The 24843-nt window shown below is 40.9% G+C and overlaps 1 protein-coding gene across 6 annotated transcripts in view; it reads left to right on the top strand.

Moving 5' to 3' along the window:
* The window catches only part of SCAI (suppressor of cancer cell invasion), a 200921-nt gene that overhangs the window by 140209 nt on the left and 35869 nt on the right, over positions 1-24843 (top strand). For 4 of the 6 annotated variants that reach the window (XR_007061282.1, XR_007061281.1, NM_001144877.3 and 1 more), the window contains 4 exons: positions 105-206; positions 1277-1355; positions 3330-3429; positions 8305-8386. Coding sequence is in view for 2 of the 6 variants with exons in the window: in NM_001144877.3 (NP_001138349.1) it covers positions 105-206; positions 1277-1355; positions 3330-3429; positions 8305-8386 (363 nt within the window). In the remaining 4 variants the exon portion in view is untranslated. Of the gene's footprint in view, positions 1-104; positions 207-1276; positions 1356-3329; positions 3430-8304; positions 8387-8526; positions 8654-24843 lie in introns of all 6 variants that reach the window. The other 2 variants (XR_007061283.1, XR_929768.2) reach the window with 1 other exon arrangement.

Raw genomic sequence — 24843 nt, 5'->3', positions numbered from 1 at the left:
TGTGAAAATAAGACTTCCTTGATAAGGGCTAGTGAAAATAGATATTGATAATTCATTTGTCAAATGCAGCTTTTATGTATAATGTTTTCTGTGTGTAAATATAGGAATCAGCTGACAAGCCTACTAGACGAGAAAACCCCCACAAGTATCTGCTCTACAAACCAACCTTCAGCCAGCTATATACCTTCTTAGCAGCGTCTTTTAAGGTATGTGTGATCCAGTACTTTTTACTATGAGGTGAAAGTGTGCCCTAACTAAAATCTAAGAGTCACTCTTTTGAAAAAATACTTAAGAGTTTAGGTAAAATATAAAAATGAAAAACTGCCTTTAGAGTAATGATCCTGATAATAGATATTTTTGTTTTGTTTTGTTTCTTTTTTTTTTTTTGTACTCCTGGTAAGCTGTGAAATAGCTGTTTGGGAATGAAAATTGCTTATGATGTTGTGATTATTCCCATCATTAATTAATGATAATAGTGGTTCTCCTTCCTCCAGTTTTTTATTACTCAATGATTTTAGGTGTAACAATGCAGAATTGGCCAGGCGTGGTGGCTCACTCCTGTAATCCCAGCACTTTGGGAGGCCAAGCCAGGTGGATCACCTGAGGTCGGGAGTTCAAGAACAGCTTGACCAACATGGAGAAACCCCATCTCTACTAAAAGAATACAAAATTAGCCGGGTGTGGTGGCACATGCCTGTAATCCCAGCTGCTTGGGAGGCTGAGGAAGGAGAATTACTTGAACCCGGGAGGCGGAGGCTGCGGTGAGCCGAGATCGCGCCATTGCACTCCAACCTGGGCAACAAGAGTGAAACTCTGTTTCAAAAAAAAAAACAGACTAAAAAACAAAAGCAGAGTGTCTAGGCTTCTTATATAGTCAAGGAGCTCTATGAAACATTTAGATCATCTGAAAGAACTGTGAGAAATAGGAGAATTCTTCCCAAAGTCTATGTAGAGAAAGCCACAGAAGGGACTTTGTCTTGTAGCCATGTAGTCAGGATCTTTACTTCTCCATTCAAGTTTTCGGAGAATATTCTCCAAATGATGGGGTTTTTGAAGCAGAGAATGTCTTTGCAACTTTTGACAATATAGATTAATAATGAATCTCTGCCGTGTGTATAGTTTTAAAGTCAGGACCAAGAAGAGCGTTTCTTCTCTTGGAAAAGACAACAGTGCATTCTTATTTATTTCACAACTTTAAGATGTCATGAACTTTAAATAAAACCATGTTGTTTATCCTTGTTTGTTGTTTTGTGTATGTGATTTTCTTTCATTTCAGGAGCTGCCTGCCAATAGCGTGCTTCTGATTTACCTGTCGGCCACTGGCGTTTTCCCCACAGGTCGTTCTGATAGTGAAGGTACAATAAAGGAATGCTCCCTGTTGTGAGCAGGGCTTGAATTCTCTTTATTTTCTACAAGACGATGGCCCGTAGCCCACAGACCATCTCAGCCTTTCTAGACAGACTTCCAAATTTGAAACCTGGTCTATTTGTTGATTGATAATTTTGTAGATACCCCAGTCTGTCATATTTTCTGAAATGTTATATGTCAAAGCCCATAAATCATCAGAAAATTCATATATTAAATGCTTGCTTCACTATCAAATGTATCAAAAGCATAATATGTAAATACATTTAGATATACATAAGGAGTTTGGTGTTTCAAAGTTGAAAAGGATGATGGAATAACCAAGCGTAATGATCTATTTCACATCATTGAATTTTTCTGAGCTTTCAGTGCATTGGGGAATCCGGTCAATGGCTACATGATGGCTGAAAGTCTTTGTAGAAATCAGTGTACTTTCGTAACTGTGAAAGTTCAAGCCCTTGTCATGATTTTGTTTTCTGTCCTTTATTTTGTTTTATGGATTCAATCTGTAGAATATCGGGATGCTGTTTCAGAATAAAAACGTAACACTGTCCAGAACATACCAGTCCAGAAATTGGTCAGAATAGATAAGTAACTTGGATGTAAATAAGATAATTAAATATTTGCCTGGGCAAAATAAAAAAATAAAAAAATTCTTAACATCCTTAACATTTTCCTCTTCATTTGTTTGTTGAAATTTGCATTCCTTTATAAAATGCATGTCCTTGCCATCTTCCTTGCATGACCTCCAGATTCTCTTAAAATGTTGAAATGAAAACAAATCTCTTTAGCCTTTTCATTGCAGTGATTTTTTTAAGAAGTGAAATATAATACAACATTAAAAGTAATGTAAAATCTTAAACTACTTTAGTTTTTTGTAATAATGTTAGTACTTTTATTTATAATTATCTGTATGTCTCATATACTGTTAAATCAAGTTTTCTTGGTTTCCGCTTAACATACTGACTTCTTTACTTTTTTCAAAGTATGATAGGTAATCGTACTTTGATAGGTCCTTTGAGAGAGATTATCTGAACATCCCACAGTTGCTGTTCCATTTGGACAAGAGTTTAGCTAATTCATATGAATTTAGTGGGAAAAGGCTAACTTCAGAACCAGAACTAAAGTGCTTGATACAATAGTGATAATAATGGATATTTGCACGCTGAAATCTGGCAATACATTCTTAAAGGTGAAGTTTTTGTGAATGAGAATTTTCAAATTCTATTCAAATATTTTTCTAAGTTTTACAGTTAGTGGCTCATTTAAAATTGTATTTACTTATGAGACTAAGATTTCATTCTTTAAAAAAAAAAAAGCTTATTTTATTCTGCAACTTCTTTTTTTTTTTCTGAGACAGGGTCTCACTCTGTCATGCAGACTGGAGTGCAATGGTGTGATCATAGTTCACTGCAGCCTGGGAATACAGGCACCTACCACCATGCTCGGCTAATTTTTAAAATTTTTTTGTAGAGACAGGTCTCACTATATTGCCCAGGCTGGTCTGGAACTCCTGGCCTCATGCAGTCCTCCTGCTTCAGCCTCCCAAAGTGCTGGGATTACAGGCATGAGCAACCATGTCTGACCAACTTCCTTTTAAAATAATATTGTTAAACCTGAGATTTTAAGTTTGCTTGAAATGTAAAGGTCATTTTGAACATCCCAGATCTCCATTCCTTTTATTACTTAGAATAATGATGCCATAGAGTCTTGTTTTGTTTCTCATTATATTCTGTTTGAAGAACTGCTGAATAATTAAATGTTTTTTAAAATGTTGAAAATGACAACATACTGAAGTCATTTAAATACTCCATTAAATTAAAATGTTAAATTTTAAAATAATTTAAATGTGTAATTATCTTCGCTTGAATCAATGAGAGATTCACACAGTACCTTTGTATTTGAACATCAGGTCAGTGTTAGTCTTCAACTGAAGTCTAGGATTCTTCCCTTTGTTTTTATAGGTCCTTATGATTTTGGAGGTGTACTTACTAATAGTAACCGGGATATTATTAATGGAGATGCCATCCACAAACGAAATCAGTCCCACAAGGAAATGCACTGGTATGTATTCTGGTGTCTACTCTTATTATAAAAATTATACCTCTGTCTATAAATAGAAAAAATATTAAGTAAAATGGGGAGTTTTTTCTAGTACTAGAATGATTCCCTTAGACTAAGATTTAGGGACAGACCAGAAACACTTATTTGGATTCCAGCAATAATTCAGGCTCTGTCTATCCTAGGAAATTAGAACTTTTGGTTGATATTCATTGAATAAATATGTTACACACTGTTTAGTCACTAGGGATATGTCAGTGAACAAAATTGCATTCTAGTTGGAGACAGTAAATATATACATAAATAAATAATATGTCAGGACATTATACATGTAACATCAATACGAACTTTTAAACAAATTTTTTTCTTGAGATGGAGTCTTCCTCTGTCACTCAGGTCAGTCTTGATTTCCTGGCCTTAAGTGATTCTCCCACCTCAGCTTCACAAAGTGCTAGGATTACAAGATGTGAGCCACTGTGTTCAGCCCAAACATTTTTTTTTTTTTTTGAGATGGAGTCTTGCCCTGTCACCCAGGCTGGAGTGCAGTGGCATGATCTCGGCTCACTGCAACCTCTGCCTCCTGGGTTCAAGCGATTCTCCTGCCTCAGCCTCCTGCGTAGCTGGGATTACAGGCACCAGCCACCATGCCCGGCTAATTTTTGTATTTTTAGTAGAGATGGGGTTTTACCATGTTTGTCAGGCTGGTCTTGAACTCCTGACCTTGTGATCCACCTGCCCCGGCCTCCCAAAGTGTTGGGATTACAGGTGTGAGCCACCGTGCCCGGCCACATTTTATTTTATTTTATTTTTTTAATTGAAAAATAATCATTGTAAATATTCCTGGGGTACTTAATGATGTTTCTATATTTGTAATGTATTGTGATCAGATCAGAGTAATTAGCATACTTATCATCTCAAACATCCATTCCTTGTGTTGGGAACATTTAATATCTTTTTTCTAGCTATTTATGATAAAGGCTGATAGCAGTGGCTCACACCTGTAATCCCAACACTTTGGGAGGCCGAGATGGGTGGATCACTTGAGGTCAGGAGTTTGAGACCAGCTTGGCCAACATGAAACCCTGTCTCTACCAAAATACAAAAATTAACCGGGTGTGGTGGCTTGCGCCTGTGGTCCTACCTACTCAGGAGGCTGAGGCAGGAGAATCACTTGAACCCATTAGGTCGAGGTTGCAGTGAACTGAGATTGTGCTCCAGTCTGGGTGATAGAGCAAGACTCTGTGTCAAAAAAACAAAAAAGAGAAAATAAAAACTATATAACATATTATTAACTATAGTCATGCTACAGTGGTATAGAACACTAGAACATATTCCTTCTATCTAGCTGTAATTTTTTAATCTTTAACAATCTCTTCCCTATACCTCCGTTCCCCGTTCCCCTACCCTTCCCAACCTCTAGTATTGAGTTTGTTTTTTTTTTGAGATGGAATCTTGCTCTCATGCCCAGGCTAGAGTGCAGTGGCACGATCTTGGCTCACTGCAACCTCCATCTCCCAGGCTCAAGTGATTCTCCTACCTCAGCCTCCCAAGTAGCTGGGATTACAGGTGGCCACCACCACGCCTGGCTAATTTTTTTATTTTTCATAGAGATGGGGTTTCGCCATGTTGACCAGTCTGGTCTCGAACTCCTGACCTTAGCCTCGGCCTCCCAAAGTGCTGGAATTACAGGCATGAGCCACCGCGCTGGGCCTGAATTTTTTAATACAAGGTTTTGTTGGTTTAATATAGCACAAATGAATGTTGTTACATGATTACAAATAGAACTTCAGGCCAGGAGCAGTGGCTCATGCCTATGATCCCAACATTTTAGGAGGCTGAGGTAGGAGGATCACATGAACCCAGGAGTTTGAGACCATCCTGGGCAACTTAGTGAGACTCTGTCTCTACAAAAACTTAAAAAAAAATTTTTTTAAATGCAAAAAATACAAAAGCAAATAGAATTTCATCTACAAAAGTTCTTTTTCTTTTTTCTTTTCTTTTCTTTTTTTTTTTTTTTTGAGACAGAGTTTTACTCTGCCGCCCAGGCTGGAGTGCAGTGGCACTATCTTGGCTCACTGCAACCTCTGCCTTCCGGGTTCAAGCGATTCTCCTGCCTCAGCCTCCCAAGTAGCTGGGATTATAGTCATGCATCACCACACCCAGCTAATTTTTGTATTTTTAGTAGAGATGGGGTTTCACCATGTTGGCCATTCTGGTCTTGAAATGCTGACCTCAAGTGATCCGCCTGCTTTGGCCTCCCAAAGTGCTGGGATTACAGGCGTGAGCCACCGTGCCTGGAGTTCATTCTTTTTCTAAGCATAACAACTTCATTGCTTGGGCTGTTATTGGCTCATTGGCTCTAGAATTTTTCTAGCTGAGAGCAATCTGGTTATAAAGAAAACTGGACTGGTCTAAAACTTTGTTTCTAATACATATTGAATATCCCTTATCTGAAATATGTGGGACCAAAAGTGTTTCGGGTTTTGGATTTTTCCAGATTTTGGAATATTTGTATATAGATAGTAAGGTACCTTAGGGATGGGACCCATGAAATTGACTTGTGTTTCATATACAACTCATACACATTGCCTGAAAGTAATTTTATTTTTCCCTTTGAGATCCTGGATAAACTATGTGTTGTGCACCTGCATGACTATGATCCATCATGTGAGGTCAGGTGTGGAATTTTCTACTTGTGGCATCGTGTTGGCTCTGAAAACTTTTTGGATTTTGGAGCATTTTTCGTTTTGGATTTTCAGATTAGGAATACTGAACCTGTATGGCATGATCACTTATATGTGGAATCTGAAAAAGTTGCACTCAGAAGCAGAGTGCAACGGTAGTTCTGAGGAGCTGAGGATTGGGGAAAATAGGGAGATGTTGGTTAAAGGGTGCAGCCTCTCAGTTGTAAGATAAATATCATTTAAAGTACAGCATGGTGGTGATAATTAAAAATACTATATTGGCTGGGTGCAGTGGCTCAGGCCTGTAATGTCAGCACTTTGGGAGGCCGAAGTGGGCGGATCACTTGAGGTCAGGAGTTCGAAAACAGCCTGGCAACATGGTGAAATCCCATCTCTACTAAAAATACAAAAAATTAGCCGGGTGTGGTGGCATGTGCCTGTAATCCCAGCTACTTGGGAGGCTGAGGCAGGAGAATTGCCTGAACGTGGGAGGCGGAGGTTGCAGTGAGCCGAGATCATACCACTGCACTCCAGTCTGTGTGACAGAGCGAGACTCCATCTCAAAATAAATAAATAAAAAAAAATAAATGAAAATACTGTATTGTTGGACCGAGCATGGTGGCTCATTCCCGTAATCTCAGCACTTTGGGAGGCTGAGATGGGAAGATTGCTTGAGTTCAGGAGTTCAAGACCAGCCTTGGCAACATAAGAGGATCTTGTCTCTACTAAAAATGTAAAAAATGAGCCAGGCGTTGAGGTGCACGCCCATGGTCCCAGCTACTTGGGAGACTGAGGCAGGAGTATCACTTGAGCCTGGGAGATCGAGGCTGCAGTTAGCTATGATCTTGCCACTGTACTCCAGTCTTGGTGACAAAGTGAGACCCCATCTCAAACAACAACAATAACAAAAATTGTTGTTTACTCGAAATTTTCTGAAAGAGTAAAGCTTATGTGTCCTCTCTGCCCACTGCCCCCAGCACCACCCCCCCACCCCCGCCCCACCGCCCACACACACGAAGGGTAACGGTGTGGGAATGGAGGTGTTGATTAATTTGATCGTGGTAATCACTATACATGTATGCATTAACAAGTCATCACATTGTATACCTTGAATATATACAATTTTTATTTGTCAATAAAAGAAAAACTTTTATTTGAAATATAATGAAGTTTGATGATATTGCTCAGTGAAACATTCATAAATTTACATTTACATTAGTATCTATCCACATATGCACATCGTGTACTCAGTCATCGGAAAGAGCACGCACACCAAGATTCTGACCTTACGCATTGGCTCTCACATGCATGTTACTGGATTTCCGCCTTTGGGTTCAGTAGCTCTTCTGTGGGCCAGTCAAACTGCATGTTTAACAAGCCCTTGATGCAAATGTTTAGAGGAAACATATGGTAAAAAGTAGCTGGGCACAGTGACTCATGCCCATAATCCTAGCACTTTGGGAAGCTGAGGTGGGCAGATTGCTTGAGCTCAGGAGTTCGAGACCAGCCTGGGCAATATGGAGAAACCCCATCTCTACTAAAAAGAGAAAAATTAGCTGGTTGTGTTGGTACATGTCTGCAGTCCCAGCTACTCAAGGAGGCTGAGGTGGGAGGATCACCTGAGCCCGGGACATGGAGGTTGCTGTGAGCTGCGATTGCACAACACCACTGTACTCCAGCCTGGGCCACGGAGCAAGACGGTGTCTTTAAAAAAAAAAATAGTGATAGTAAAAAGATTTTCCTACTTACTACCTGCAGTATTAAGATGTAGCCTGAAATATTAAAAATCTTTAAAATAGAAATTTTGAAGACTCATTGAAATACAAATCTGGTTTTGTTATTACATCTTGTTTCCAGATGTTCTTACAAGGAGCTTTTAAATATGAAACAGGTATCTGTTTGCCAGCTTCTGAGGTTTTCATGCTGTGTGTTTAGTCATCTTTAAATACACAGACTTCACTTTAGCTTAGATATTCTTGAATAACAATTGTCTCTGAACTTTTTTTTTTTTCTCCAAATAGAACTATCTTGGCTATCCTAGTAAATACAGGCTTTTTTTCCCCTTTGCTTAACTAGTCTTTGTTTTTCTCTCAGTGCTATGATGCAAAGGAGATATGAGCAGACCAAACTGAAGAATAAGATTTCTGAGATGTGGCTGACACAGTTTAACAGTTCTTCGTTGTTGTTTTCCCAGCCTTCATCCCGGGGATCTCTATCCTTTCACCAGGAAGCCACTGTTCATCATTGTGGATTCGTCTAATAGTGTTGCGTATAAGGTGAGTTCCATGAGAGCTATTGCACAGGTAGACATTGTGGCACCAACCCAAGGGTACCCACTCTTAATGTGTGCCTTTTTATTTTGCTTTATTTTATTTAATTTTACACAGTTTGTATTTAGTGTTTCTTTTCTTTTGAGGTTGTGCATGCTAGTCAGGATCGGGTGCTATGAATAGAAACAAGAAGAAAACGCATGAATGGACACTCAGTGGAAAATAATAAATCCTCCTGCAGGAAAAAAAAATTCAAGATTTCCAAGATCTCTGGTGGGAGGTTTATTTTTGTTATATAACCCAGAATAATTTTCTTTTATAGAGGTAGAGGTATAAGGGTGAATTTCTCTAGTGTTCAAACGTTTCCCCTTCTCATGCTGAGCTGCTGTAGTTTAAGTAAAACTTCTAGCCCATAGTTTTAGTCTTTGAATATTAACATACTGTTTTACATGCACTTGATTTTTTGAAAATTTGTGACAATCACAAAAAAAAGATGGCCCTGAATGCTGAAATAAGTGACAGGGATCTAACTTGAACATCCTTCGTTTTATATTTCACTATTGAAGTGATGATTTTCAGTGATTTTATAAAGAATGCCAGTGGTCAGCTGGGTGCAGTGGCTCACGCCTGTAATCCCAACATTTTGGGAGGCCGAGGCGGGCAGATTACCTGAGGTCAGGAGTTCGAGACCAGCCTAACCAACATGGAGAAACCCCCATCTCTACTAAAAATATAAAATTAGCCAGGCGTGGTGGTGCGTGCCTGTAATCCCAGCTACTTGGGAGGCTGAGGCGGGAGACTCACTTGAACCTGGGAGGTAGAGGTTGTGGTGAGCTGAAATTGTACCATTGCTCTCCAGCCTGGGCAACAAGAGCAAAACTCCGTCTCAAAAAAAAAAAAAAAATGCCAGCAGTGAAACACTTTAAAGGTGGATATTATAATTCAAACTATAGTAATTTACAGGAAAACGAAAGCACAGTCTTTAGAGTCCTTTGTATCTGGTCAAAATGTTTGATTAGTGAAAAATGTGTTCAAAATATTCTGGGTGCACAGATCTGCCACTTCAAACTGTTTCTGTTGTGGGTGTTCATACTGCAGTTAGAGGGAGAAGCAAACTCCTGATAGGTTTCTATCAGGAAACCAATGAAAATGTCTGGTAGCCAAGAGAGCTGACCCCAAGTATACATTTTCCATTTAGTTTTCATGTTTAGTTTTACTTAAACTCTTTATTCCAAGAGCTTCCAATGCACCATACATTTTTCAGCATTTTTCCTCCTACTCATTTTGTTCAGTATTACAACTTCTGATTTTTAGGAAAGTTAGCAGTGTACTTTCTTTTCTTTTCTTTTTTGAGACAGAGTTTCGCTCGTTTCCCAGGTTGGAGTGCAATGGCATGATCTCAGCTCACTGCAACCTCCGCCTCCCAGGTTCAAGCGATTCTCCTGCCTTAGCCTCCCAAGTAGTTGGGATTACAGGCATGCGCCACTATGCCCGGCTAATTTTTAGTATTTTTAGCAGAGATGGGGTTTCTCCATGTTGCTCAGGCTGTTCTCCAACTCCTGACCTCAGATGATCCACCCGCCTTGGCCTCCCAAAATGTTGGGATTACAGGCGTGTTCCACCGTACCCAGCCAGCAGTGTACTTTCTTAAATTGTATATTTGTTTTGTTTTTGTGGGAAATGGAAGAATGTGAGAAGCTGCTGAATGAAAAGGTTTATTGGCTACCCCAATTAAACTTATAAAGCCAGAGGGGTCCAGGCATTTTGTGTCTTCACAGAATTCAAAAGAAGTACTCTGTCTTTGTCAATGAAAATGAATTTGTTGCAGCAGTTTGGTGATGTGACAGAATGTGTTTTTGCACTGGGTCCAATGTATTGTTTAACATGATCTAGCATCATTGAGAGTACTTTAGCAATCCATTAGTTTCTCCCAATTTAATTGGGCATTATTGGATACCACTTCTCAGCAATACCATTCATTGTATGTGCCTGCTATTTCCAGAGGACTATTTAGATTTAGGATGAATGTTGGATGCCGACTTTTAAAGACACCATTGTGTATAATTGGAAATGTATTTGCTCAAGTAATGCATCATGGCTTAATTTTAGATTTTAATATTGTGATGCACAGGACAGCTGTGGAATAATAGCAAGTCTTTTGTTGTTGTTGTTTGCTTTTGATGGCACAGGCACTGTCACTCCTCTGAAGAAATAAATCGTCCAGAACATACCAATCTTCAGAAATGAAAAGGGAGGCCAGGCGTGCAGTGGCTCATGCCTGTAATCCCAGCACTTTGGGAGGCTGAGGCGGGCGGATCACTTGGGGTCAGGAGTTCAAAACCAGCCTGGCCAACGTGGTGAAATCCCGTCTCTACTGGAAATTAAAAAATTAGCTGGGAGGGGTGGTGTGCACCTGTAGTCCCAGCTACTTGGGAGGCTGAGGCAGGAGAATCGCTTGAACCCGGGAGATGGAGGTTTCAGTGAGCCAAGATCGTGCCATTGCACTCCAGCCTGGGTGACAGAGTGAGATTCTGTCTCAACAAAAAAAAAAAAGAAATGAAAAGAGAACCCCATATGGAGTAGGCAAATCAGATCATGGCACAGACCAATTTTAGTCTTTTTAGAAATTAATATTACTTACTACATTTAATTTAAGCATGTAGTTCTCTTTGGTAGCATATAAAGGTGTCTCATATTTATTTTTCCCACAAAAGCATTTGTAGGCTGGGTGCAGTGTCTCACACCTGTAATCCCAGCACTTTGGGAGGCCAAGGCAAGAGGATCACTTGAACCAGCAGTTTGAGACAAAGCTGGGCAAGATAGCAAGATCCCAAATCTATTTTAAAAATTTAAAAATTAGCCAGGCATGTTTTTGTGAGCCTGTAGTCCCAGCTACTTCAGGAAGCTGAGGCAGGAGGATCTCTTGAGCCCAGGAGTTCAAAGATGCATGAGCTGCGATCGTGCCACTGCATTCCAGCCTGAGTGAGAGAGCAACACCGTATCTCTAATAAATTAATTAGATGAAATGAAATTAAGCATTGTAAAGTCTTAAGCTACCACTTTGCAAGTTTTTTGGTTTGTTTTGTTTTTGTTTTTTGTTTTTGAGACAGAGTCTTGCTCTGTCGCCCAGGCTGGAGTACAGTGGTGCAATCTTGGCTCACTGAAACCTCCGCTTCCTGGGTTCAAGCGATTCTCCTGCCTCAGCCTCCCAAGTAGCTGGGACTAGAGGCACACGCCACCACACCTGGCTACTTTTTGTGTTTTTAGTAGAGATGGGGTTTCACCATGTTGGTCAGGCTGGTCTTGAACTCCTGACCTCGTGATCCGCCCACCTCAGCCTCCCGAAGTGCTGGGATTACAGGCATGAGCCACCATGCCCGACCTGCAAGTTTTTAATGAGAAAAGAGAACTGGGTAACTGATGTATTATTTCTGGAGTATTTTCTTTGCTATATATGTTTTATATAGGTCTGGATGTTTTATGAGTATATAAGTGTTTTGTAAATGTTTCTTCATTTAAACAGTTTCATGTACATTTCTTCATTTAAATATTACTCGTTAATTTTTTTTTTTTTTTTTTTTTTTTTTTGAGACGGAGTTTTGCTCTGTCACCCAGGCTGGAGTGCAGTGGCATGATCTCGGCTCACTGCAACCTCCGCCTCCTGGGTTCAAGCAATTCTCCTGCCTCAGCCTCCCGAGTAGCTGGGATTACAGGCATGTGCCACCACACCTGGCTAATTTTGTATTTTTAGTAGAGATGGGATTTCCCCATGTTGGTCAGGCTGGTCTCGAACTCCCAACCTCAGGTGATCCACCCACCTCGGCCTTCCAAAGTTCTGGGATTGTAGGCATGAGCCACTGCGCCTGGCCACTTGTTAATGTTTATGAAGTAACTCGTGCATATAGTTTAAAGTTGTATTTCTCAACTATTTCTGTGCATCAGAAACTTTCAGAGCCCTTTTCGAACCACTTGTAGCTGGGTCCCATCCACCTCCTGTGATTCTGATCACTTCACCTGGGGTGGGTCTCAGCTACAGTATTTATGAAGACTAGCTGTATTGTGCTGTCCTGGTGAGAGAACTACTCACTCAGAAATCCCTCCAGATTTGCTACTAAAAACAGCAGTCTCCCACTTTTTGTTGCAACCCCTATTTGCCTCTTCCCAGAGGCCGCTCTTCAAATAGTTTTTGGCTATTTTGTTTTTTAACCACCATTTTTCTTTTTTCTTTTTTCCTTCCTTCTCTCCCCTAACCACTATTTTTCTAAATAATATACTGGCATTGATAATTCTTGATTCTTCAGTTTTAGCGTTATGTATTAATTTCCCACTATGAAAGAGAAATTTATCTCCCTTTCCTCTTTCTGTCCCCAACTCACATTTCTACCCTTTCCATCATTTTATCCACACCATAGATAATTTTGATAGATAATTTGTTTTGTTTTGTTTTGTTTTAGAGGGAGGCTCGCTGTGTCACCCAGGCTAGAGTGCAATGGTGCGATCTTGGCTCACTGCAACTTCCGCCTCCTGGGTTCAAGCGATTCTCCTGCCTCAGCCTCTCTAGTAGCTGGGATTATAAGCACGTGCCACCACACCTGGCTGATTTTTGTGTTTTTAGTAGAGACGGGGTTTCACCATGTTGCCCAGACTGGTCTTGAACTCCTGACTTGAGGTGATCCGCCTACCTCGGCCTCCCAGAGTGCTAGAATTACAGGCGTGAACCACCGCTCCCAGCCTAGCTTCCAGTATTTCTTTTTTTTTCTTTTTTGAGACAGAGTTTCACTCTTGTTGCCCAGGCTGGAGTGCAATGGCGTGATCTTGGCTCACTGTAACCTCTGCTCCCCAAGTTCAGGCCATTCTCCTGCCTTAGCCTCCTGAGTAGCTCGGATTACAGGTGCACGCCACCACACCTGGCTAATTTTGTATTTTTAGTAGAAACAGGGTTTCTCCATGTTGGTCAGGCTGGTCTCGAACTCCTGAGCTCAGATGATTCACCCACCTTGGCCTCCCAACGTGCTGGGATTACAGGCGTGAGCCATCGTGCCTGGCCTTTTTTGTGTGTGTGTGAGATGCAGTCTGTCAGCCAGACTGGAGTGCAGTGATGTAATCTCAGCTCACTGCAGCCTCTGCTCCCCAAGTTCAGGCCATTCTCCTGCCTTAGCCTGCTGAGTAGCTTGGATTACAGGCACGCGCCACCATACCTGGCTAATTTTGTATTTTTAGTAGAAACGGGGTTTCTCCATGTTGGTCTGGCTGGTCTCAAACTCCTGACCTCAGATGATTTACCCACCTTGGCCTTCCAAAGTGCTGGAATTACAGGCATGAGCCATCGTGCCTGGACTTTTTTATTTTTATTTTTTTGAGATGCAGTCTCACTCTTGTCACCCAGGCTGGAGTGCAGTGATGTGATATCGGCTCACTGCAACCTCCGCCTCCCAGGTTCAAGTGATTCTCCTCTCTCAACGTCCTGAGTAGCTGGGATTACAGGCGCACACCACCACGCCTGGCTAATTTTTTGTATTTTTAGTAGAGGTGGGGTTTCACCATGTTGGCCAGGTTGGTCTTGAATGCCTGTCTGGGCCTCCCAAAGTGCTAGGGTTACAGACGTGAGCCACCATGCTCAGCCTGAGCCACGGCGCCGAGCCCAATATTTCTTAAGAAGCATGAAGCATTCTAATTCTGTTTTCTTTTTTATGCAACACATTTTCAGTGTCTGGAAACGTATAGAATCTTCTCTTTCTTCTTAGTGATTTTTCAGTTTCTCAATATCGTTTCCTGGTTTGACTTTACTTTTTTATTTTTTAAGATGGAGTTTCACTCTTGCCAACCAGGCTGGAGTGCAGTGGCACGATCTTGGCTCTCTGCAACATCCACCACCCAGGTTCAGGAGATTCTCCTGCCTCAGCCTCCCGAGTAGCTGGGATTACAGGCATGCGCTACCACACCCAGCTAATTTTGTATTTTTTTAGTAGAGATGGGGTTTCACCATCTTGGCCAGGCTGTTCTCGAACTCCTGACCTCGTGATCCACCCGCCTCAGCCTCCCAAAGTTCTGGGATTACAGGCGTGAGCCACTGTGCCTGGCTGGTCTGGATTTACTTTTAACTATGGTGCTTAACATGTACTTGGTGAATTATTTCAGTCTGGAAACTGCTCATTTTCTAGAGTTAGTCCATTTATTTTTCTCTCTGCATTTTCTTTTTTCCTGTTCTGTCTTTTAAGAACTTTTTTCGTTATTGCACATTCTGGTCTGGTTGTCTTTTATTTGTTTGTCTGTCCTTTGCTCTTTAATACATTTTTTCTTTAGGAAATCCCCTCATCTTTATCTTCTAAGCCTTTTATTGAGATTTTTCATTTGTCTATTTTCCTTTCATATATATAGAAATAGATGCATGTGTGTTTATGTAACACATACATACATATGCACATATATATATAATTATTTTGGGTTTTTTTAAATCATGGTTGAAATATATCACTTTCCTTTGAGAATATCAGTGATCATTTAAAATTTCTCCCTGCCTCGTATCTGCTTCCTCTTTCTTCATTTGTTTCTGCTTGTTTTTGCCTCTGTCTTTCTCATTAGAGACTTCCCTGAGAGTATCATAATCCCTGCTTGTTTGCTCATACTTAAGATTGGAGCCTAGCAAACTGATCAGAAGCTCTGAGGGGTGATTCCAACTGAGCTCTGGGACTGGTTCCAACTGAGCTGGACCTTATAGTTGGGTAATCCCTAATGCCAGTATCTTTAGGTCTTCCTTCATGGCCTGGTCATGTATATCAGAGAAGATGCAACTATTCCACCTGGAATATAAAGGTCTAGTGACCAGCATGATGCCATGTTTTCCCTGAAGCGTGTGTGTATGTGTGTGCATGTGTGTAGGTGTTGTGTGTGTGTGTGTGTGTGTTTATAGATACATATATCCTTACCCAGTGCCTCACACTTAAAAGAGTGTTTGTTTGTTTGTTTGTTTGTTTTTTGAGAAGAAGTCTCGCTCTGTTACCCAGGCTCTAGTGCAGTGGCATGATCTTGGCTCACTACAACCTCTGCCTCCCGGGTTCAAGCGATTCTCCTGCCTTAGCCTCCCAAGTAGCTGGGACTACAGGTGTGTGCCACCACACCCGGCTAATTTTTGTATTTTTTAGTAGAGACAGGGTTTCCCCATGTTGGCCAGGCTGGTCTCAAATTCCCGACCTCAAGTGATCCACTCAGCTCGGCCTCCCAAAGTGTTGGGATTACAGGTGTGAGCCACCATGCCCGGCCAAAAGAGTCTTAATCAGTGCATGTTGAATGATGAAATGAGGGAGCTATTGTCCTTATTTTGTACTTGAGGAAACTTTGCCTCTGAGGTTCAGGATCTTGTCTAATATTTCCAACACCAGTCTTTCTCATTGCAGTGCCCATGCTCTTTCCCACGTAGAGAAAGAGTAGCTTTTCAGGCTTGTCTGAGCCTCATATTAGAGGAATACTGTGATTGAAATACCAATATTTGTGTAACAAGTATGGCCCATATTTTGGCTCTTAGATTGCCAGTAGGGGCAAACTAAGCAAGTTGATTGGCCTTGTCTGTGGTAATGTAGTATTTAGTAGGAGTTTAAAATAATAATAATAAAAAAAAGCCATCCAGGTGCAGTGGCTTACACTTGTAATCCCAGCACTTTGGGAGGCCGAGGCAGGCGGATCACAAGGTCAGGAGTTTGAAACCAGCCTGACCAACATGGTGAAACCCCATCTCTACTAAAAATACAAAAATTAGCTAGGCATGGTGGCACATGCCTGTAATCCCAGCTATTCAGGAGGCCGAGGCAGGAGAATCTCTTGAACCTGGGAGGCAGTGAGCCGAGATCGCACCACTGCACTCCAGCCTGGGCGACAGAGCGAGACTCCATCTCAAAAAAAAGGCCCTCAGTCATTTTGGGCAATACTTCTTTTTCTTTTTTCCCCTGGAAGAAGAAAATCCTTTTGCACATTTAAGTATTTATGACAGAGCTAGCTGGATCCCTGCCTGTGAAAATGACTTACAGATTTGTCAAAACAGGAGTATTTATCTAAACAGCCTCATCCTAAAGTATTTGACTGATGTCTACAGCAATCAGTTTCTTAAGGCATTCACAACAGGATTCAGTTATGTAAGAGCTCTTCTGCCAGTCAGCCTCACCTTCATTCCATTTCTCTCTTGCTGCTTTGAAAGACCTTTTTGTTTTTGCTGTCCTGCAGTTATATGGTGATATATCTAGGTTTGGCTTAAATCTATTGGGATTTGTTGGACTTCCTGAGGTGGTAGGTTGGAGTTTTTTGTTACTGCTGGGAAATTCTCATTTTCTCTTCACATATCGATGGTATCTAAGCTTCTCTCTCCTCACCTTATGGAGCTCCAATTAAATATGTGTATTAGACATTCACACTGTGTCCTCCACATTTCTTAACCTCTCTTCTGTCTGTATTTTCCATCATTTTGTTTCTTTGGTTGAGATTTGTATAGTTTCTTCTGATCTAGCTCTTAGTTCAAAAATTTTCTCTTCAGCTGTGTGTAACTTGCTCTCAAACCCATCTATTGAGTTTTTTGTTGGTTATGGTATTTTTCATGTTGATAAATTATATGTCATTCTTTTTTAAGTATTCCATTGCCCTTTTCTATTTTATTTTATTTTTGAGACGGAGTCTCGATCTGTTGCCCAGGCTGGAGTGCAGTGGCGTGATCTCGGCTCACTGCAATCTCCGCCTCCCGGGTTCAAACGATTCTCCTGCTTCAGCCTCCCAAGTAGCTGGGACTGCAGGTGCCCGCCACCACACCCAGCTAATTTTTTGTATTTTTAGTAGAGATGGGGTTTCACCATGTTAGCCAGGATGGTCTCTATCTCCTGACGTCGTGATCTGCCTGCCTTGGCCTCCCAAAGTACTGGGATTACAGGCATGAGCCACCGCGCCCGGACACTCCATTGCCCTTTTTATAGTTTCTTATTTTCAAGTTTATTTCTTATTTCTTCAAACTTAATAAGCATACTTATTATTTGTTGTCTGTGTGATATTTTCTATAATCATATATGAAATTGGAATTTCTTTTTTTTTTTTTTTTATTGAGACAGAGTTTCACTCTTGTTGCCCAGGCTGGAGTGCAATGGTGCGATCTCACCTCACTGCAACCTCCGCCTCCCCGGTTCAAGCAATTCTCCTCAGCCTCCCAAGTAGCTAGGATTACAGGCATGTGCCACCACGCCTGGCTAATTTTGTATTTTTAGTAGAGACGGGGTTTCTCCATGTTGGTCAGGGTGGCCTCAAACTCCCAACCTCAGGTGATCTGCCCGCCTCTGCCTCCCAAAGTTCTGGGATTACAGGTGTGAGCCACCGTGCCCAGCTGAAATTGGATTTTCTATATGAAATCTGATTTTGCTGTTTGAGACATCCTTTGCTGTTTTTGTGCCCCTGTATGCTTGATTATTTTTGACTATGTTTCTTCTTCTTCTTCTTAAAAATTACTTGTATGAAGTTCATAGAGCCCTAGGATGAGGATACCTTTATTCAGAGAGGGTCTGCATTTGCTTATGCCAGACACCCAGAGGCACTACCAGTTTGGGATCACCTAGTTGATAGAAATCTGGGCTGCAAATATGCAGGAGGGCTGACTTACACTGACAACCCTCAGGAACTAATTTTTGTTTTCTTTTGTTTTCTGCTCAGCATCAAGAAAAAATGTTTTGCAGTCCCATGTGGAGTGATCATGGAAGGGAGAGGAAGTGTCAAGTTTGGTTTTGGTTAATCCTTATACTGACAGTATAGCCCTTTAGGATTCCAGGTTAAAGGGTGTACCCTTTTAGGATTCCAATTTAAAGGCTGTAGCCCTGAGGATTCCAGTTTAATGCAGGGCGAGTTTTCTATTAGATTCCCATCTTGGACAGATGCTGAGCTGTGACATTTGTCCCCTTTTCCAGATGAGATCTTCAAAACCCAAATTCAAGTTGCTAGATTGATTCAGGGCAAGAGTTCTGGAATCTGCATATCCTTTCAGTCTCCTCTACAGATTTTTCTGTATCTCTCTGCCCTTTTATCAGTGAAGTGCCCTTGAGTTCAGTCCTTGTTCTTTTCCACCTACAGCTGACTTCCTGATGTTCTTAGCTGATTTTATGGCTTTGCTGTTTCTGTGTTGACAACCTCCAAGCCAGACCTCTCTCTCAAACTCAACTTGAATATTATCTACCTACTCCATATCTTTAGTTATAATTTAGTTGGTAGAGTTTGCAAACTGAACATGCCCAAGGCGGAATTCCTAGGCTCTTCCATATACAGCTTTCCCCATTTTAGTTCATGGCTACTATGCTATTATAGTTGCCCCGGCCATAATCCTTGATTTCGTACTTGACTACTCCTCCCCTCACATCCAACATCCATTTTAGGAAATCCTGTTGACTCGAACTAATATGTATATCCAAGATCCTATTACCTCCTCTGCCTCATCCTGGCTCATACCACCATCATCATTCACCTGAATTACTGCAGTAGCCTTCTAATGAGTCTTCCTCCTTCCTCGCTCTCCTGTAAGTGTGCCTATAAGACAGATATGCCACCTTTCTACTCAAAATCACCAATGGCCTGTCATCTCACTCAGAAGAAAGGCTTTATTTTTTCTGCTTACATATACCCCTCCCTCCCCAGTCTTCCAAAAACATCTCTGATCTTCTCTCTTCCCTGGCCCCTGATTGCTCAGTTCTCTTCAGCCACACTGACCCCCTTGCTGTTCCTGAAACATATCAGGCAGTCATCTGCCCTAGATCTTTACATTCTTTTCCCTCTGCCTTGAATGCTCTTCCAAAGATACCTACATTATTCTTTAGGTGTTTGAGCAAATAAAGCCTTTTAAAAGGTCTTCCCTAATTGTCCTACTTAAAATTATATGCCTCCCCAGTACTCCTCATCCACCTTTCTTTTTCTTAATAATCATAACAGTTAACTTTTCTGTAGTGACTAGCAATATGCACTGTTCTAAGCATTTTATGTGTATACGTTTAATTCCTGCACAACACAGTGTGTTGCTTTTATTGTTCCCATTTTACTGATAAGAAAACCAAGGCACAGATAAAGGTTAAGTAATTTGCCCAAGATCACACAGATAGTAGGTAGCCAAGTTGGAATGTAAAACAATGGACTGTAAAACCTGTGCTATTAACTATGTGCTGTGCTTCCATATGTAGCACTTGTCACCTTCTGTGATATTATATAACTTATTTATTTAGTTGGTTAGTTTACTGTGGGTCACAATCTACCATTTCTCCATCCCCCATCCAACTCAGCTCTAGGCCGGGCACGGTGGCTCACGCCTGTAATCCCAGCACTTTGGGAGGCTGAGGCGGGTGGATTGCCTGAGGTCAGGAGTTCGAGACCAGCCTTGCCAACATGGTGAAACCCTGTCTCTACTAAAAATACAAAAATTAGCCGGGTGTGGTGGCACATGCCTGTAATCCCAGCTAGTAGGGAGGCTGAGGCAGGGAGAGTTGCTTGAACCCGGGAGGTGGTGGTTGCAGTGAGCTGAGATCGCCACTGCACTCCAGCCTGGGCAACAGAGTGAGACATCATCTCAAAAAATAAAAATAAAAATAAAAAAATACTTACATAAATGTCAGCTCCAGAAGATAGAGTTTTTTCTGTTTTGTTTACTGTTGTATCTCTAGCACCTGTAGCAGTGTCTAGTCCTTAGGTCCATGAGTTATTTGTTGAAGAAGAGAAGAAGAGATCTTTAAAAAGAACATTATATACTGTTTTAAGTGAATGCTTTTTTTTTTTTTTTTAAGAGACAGGTTTTCATTCTGTCACCCAGGCTGGAGTGCATGGAGTGCAGTGGTACAGTCATAGCTCACTGCAGCCTCATACTCCTGGGCTCAAGAGATCCTCCTATGTCAGCCTCCCGAGTACTAGGACTACAGAAACATGCCACCACACCTGGCTAATTTTTAAATTTTGTGTAGAGATAGGGTCTTGCTATGTTCTCCAGGCTGATCTTGAGCTCCCTGCTGTAAGCGATTCTCCCACCTTGGTCTTCCAAAGTGCTGGGATTATGAGCCACCACACCCAGCTAGTGAATATATTTTAAACCCCAGTTAAAGAAATAATTTCCTAGGCAAAAGATTGAATGGCTATATGAAAGAAATCAGAACAGCCCCATCACTGGCTAGAAATGTAGGAAAGTTATCAAAATTATTTCCTTTTCCCCCCAAGAAAGGCTTCTAGCCCTTCTGGGTTTACCAATAATTTTTTTTTTTTTTTTTTTTTTTGAGACAGAGTCGCACTCTGTTGCCCAGGCTGGGATGCAGTGACATGTTCTCAGCTCACTGCAACCTCTGCCTCCCGGGTTCAAGTGAGTCTCCTGCCTCAGCCTCCCAAATAACTGGGATTACAGGTGCATGTTACCATACCCGGCTAATTTTTTTATTTTTTTATTTTTAGTAGAGATGGGGTTTCACCATGTTGGCCAGGCTGGTGTCGAACTCCTGACCTCAGATGAACCACCCCCCTCGGCCTCCCAAAATGCTGCGATTACAGACGTGAGCCACCGTGCCCGGCCCAATAATACTTTGAAACCTTTAGAGTCAGATATACAATTTAGGGCAATGAAAAAGGTCAGAACTATCCAATTCATTCTGTAGCAGTTAGGCCACAAAATACTTGTATGGCTTTGATCATGTCTTTGATCTTTTCTGAGCTGCTTTTTCCTTCTCAAATAAGTTGTGAATGCTGATCTCACAGGATTGTCGTGATTGCAGATTAAGATCTATGAAGCCTAGCGTAGTTTCTGGAAAATAGCACTCAGTAAATGATAGGAATTATTATGATAATGATACTGTTTCCAGACAAAATTAGCACACATGAAAGAAAACTTTACCCCAAAGTAGTTTATCAATATAGAATAGAAGAATTTAAATAAAATACTAGCCAATAGGCTATTAATAGAATCATCTATCAAAAGAGTTTATCTGAATCATGCATGAAGATTAGGTAAAGGAAAATCAGGCCAGGTGCAGTATCTCACGTCTGTAATCCCAGCACTTTGGGAGCATAAGGCACGAGGATTGCTAGAGGCCAAGAGTTCAAGACTAGCCTGAGCAATATAGCAAGACCCCATCTATAAAATAAAAAACTAGCTGAGTGTGGTGCCACGTCTGTGCAGTGCTAGCTACTTAGGAGGCTGGGGCAGGAGGATTGCTTGAGTTCAGAAGATAAAGACTGCGGTGAGCTATGATCACACCACTGTACTCCTGCCTGGGTTACAGAGCAAGACCTTGACTAAAAAAAAAAAAAATTTAATACTATAAACTATGTCGATAGGATAAATAAGACAATCACATGCTTTCGTAACAGTCATTTAGTAAAATCTAATAACACTCATCACGTGTTCTTAACTAAAGCACTGAACCTATGATGAAGAGCTTCTTTATTAAATAGCCAACGTTGTACTTAGAGAAACACTAAAAGTATGTTCAATTAAAATAAGAAAAAGAGAATGCCTGTTACTATCATTATGATACACTATTACTTTTGTCCCAACTAGAAATTCATAACATTCCCCAAATAAAACAATAACAAGAGTTGTTCGGATTAGTAGAAGAGGACACAAAACAGTAAATATTGGAAAGAATGAGATGAAAACCACTAGTTGCAGACGGTATGATTTTATATTTGGAAAATCAAGAGAATCACAGAAAAGCTACTAATATGAATATAAATTCATCAAAGTGGTTAGATATAGGACAAACATACAAAATTCAATAGCAACTTTATATATGAGCTATGTCTGGTTCAAATTTATTCATTTGTATATATTTGCTATAATTTTTCTTAAACTTAATAGCTTTGAATCGTACACTTCATCTGTGTGGGCAGTTATGATATATTCTGCAAAAACTTGCAAATAAAGATTATAAGATTATCCTATGGGAGTTAAACTATAAAATTAATTAATGAATAGATCAGAACAGAGTAAAGCCACATGTAAAGCACCTTAAAGAAACTATTTCTCAGGCCTAAAATTTAATTATAATCTGATAGAAGGTATTCATGTATTTATGTCAGAGGTCTCCAAGATGATTCCCAGGTTCAGTGATTTCCTAGGAAGATTCACAGGACTCGGCATATAGTCGTACTCACTGCTAAGATTTAGTACAGTAAAAGGATACAGAGCAAAACCAGCAAAAGAAAAAGATAAGTGGGGTGAGTTTGGAGAAAACCAAGTACAAACTTCCAGGGGCCCTCTTCCAGCGGAGTCACACAGGATACACTTAATTACCCAACCAACAAGTTGTGACAACATGGATTAAATATTATCTACCAGCAAAGCTCATTAGGAACTCAGCAACCAGGGTTTTTATTGGGAACTGGTCTTGTGGGCACTCTCTGCCTGGCTCTTAACAAAATGCTACACTCCCAGAAGGAAAGCAGGTGTTCAGTATAAACCATCTTGTTTGCACATTCTAGGGACAGCGAGCCACTCTTTATCAGTTCTGCTAATGGTAGGAATTTTCACCAAAACTAAGTTCCCAGAAGCCAGCCAGGGGCCAACCCAATAAGCAAAACTTTCGAAGGATGGCAGTCTGGCTTGCTATGCTAACTCTTCTCTGCACAGTATTATTGGGGGAAAAAAAAAAAAGTCAGGAGAGAAGTTCGTTAGCAAGGAGTGCAAAGAAAAAGGAGACCTTTAGAAATAAATAATAGCAATGTCCATTTTAGCACTATCTAAGAGGAAAAGCGACATGGCTAAGATCCCTAAAGCCATCTTTAGGGATCTGTAGTGCAGAAAATGCCTCAATCTGCCTTATCAAAAGAATCATTCAATTTACTCCCTGTGTTTGGATTACAAAATATTTCTAATATATCTGAATTACTTGCTTAATTTTTTTTTTTTTTTTTTGAGACGGAGTCTTGCTCTGTCACCCAGGCTGGAGTGCAGTGGTCCGATCTCAGCTCACTGCAACCTCTGCCTCCCAGGTTCATGCCATTCTCCTGCCTCAGCCTCCCGAGTAGCTGGGACTACAGGCACCTGCCACCATGCCCGGCTAATTTTTTTGTGTTTTTAGTAGAGATGGGGTTTCACCGTGTTAGCCAGGATGGTCTCGATCACCCGACCTCGTGATCCGCCCGCCTGGGCCTCCCAGAGTGCTGGGATTACAGGCGTGAGCCACCGCGCCCAGCCTATTTGCTTAATATTTTTAGTACTGGTATTACATTCACAAAGTCACAGAATCAAAAATTTCAAGAAGTCATATTGTGAAATCTCTTCCTCCCGCCTAGTCCCAATGCACTAAATTCCTATCTCTCCCTATAGATAATCACTGTTACCTGTTTCTTATCCTTTTAGAAAAAAAGTTGTAAATGGATATACAAACTAAAACAAATAGTCTTTTTTTTATTTTTATTTTTTGAGATGGAGTCTTCATCTGTTGCCCAGGCTAGGGTACAGTGACATGATCTTGGCTCACTGCAACCTCCGCCTCCTGGGTTCTAGCAATTCTCCTGCCTCAGCCTACCTAGTAGCTGGGATTACAAGCACACGCCACCATGCCCGGCTAATTTTTGTATTTTTAGTAGAGATGGGCTTTCACCATGTTGGTCAGGTCGGTCTCAAATTCCTGACTCAAATGATCTGCCTGCCCTTGGCCTCTCAAAGTGCTGGGATTACAGGCATGAGACACACCATGCCCAGCCAAGAAATAGTCTTTAGTTTTCTTAGTTATATAAATAGTAGTAACATCTTGTACCACATTGCACCATATCTTTTTTCATTTAATAAGAAGTATTGAGGCTGGGCATGGTGGCTCACACTTGTAATCCCAGCACTTTGGGAGGCTGAGGCAGGCAGATCACTTGAGGTCAGGAGTTCAAGACCAGCCTGGTCAACATGGCGAAACCCCGTCTCTACTAAAAACACAAAAATTAGCCAGGCACAGTGGCATTCCCCTGTAATCCCAGCTACTCAGGAGGCTGAGGCACAAGAATCACTTGAACCTGGGCAGCGGAGGTTACAGTGAGCTGAGAGGTGGAGGTTGCACTCCAGCCTGGGCGACAGAGCGAAACTGTTTCAAAAAAAAAAGAAAAAAAGTATTGGTGACCCTTCATACCTGTTCATAAAGAACTTCTTTGTTCTTTTTTATAGCTGTTTATTATTCCATTGTATTATTGTAGCATAATTTATTGTACCAATCCTGTATTTCTGGTCATTTGGTTGTGTTATTTCCATTCCTTCACTATCACTAACAAGGCTTCAAGGAATAATTTAATACTTACGTTATTTTATTAGTTGCATAGTGTATCTATAGGGAAAATTTCTAGTTTGGGAATTTCTGTGTTAATATGCATTTGAGTGTAATAGATGCTGCCAAGTTAAATTGTCTTCTAAAGTGTTTATATCAATTTATACTCCTATTACCTACATATGAGTATTTCCCCACATTCTTGCCAACAGTGTATATTCTCAAACTTTTAGA

This window comes from Homo sapiens, chromosome 9, assembly GCF_000001405.40.
Source record: "Homo sapiens chromosome 9, GRCh38.p14 Primary Assembly".
NCBI lineage: Eukaryota > Metazoa > Chordata > Mammalia > Primates > Hominidae > Homo > Homo sapiens.
The sequence above is the reverse complement of the archived record's forward strand: the minus strand, read 5'-3'. Positions and strand labels throughout refer to the sequence as shown.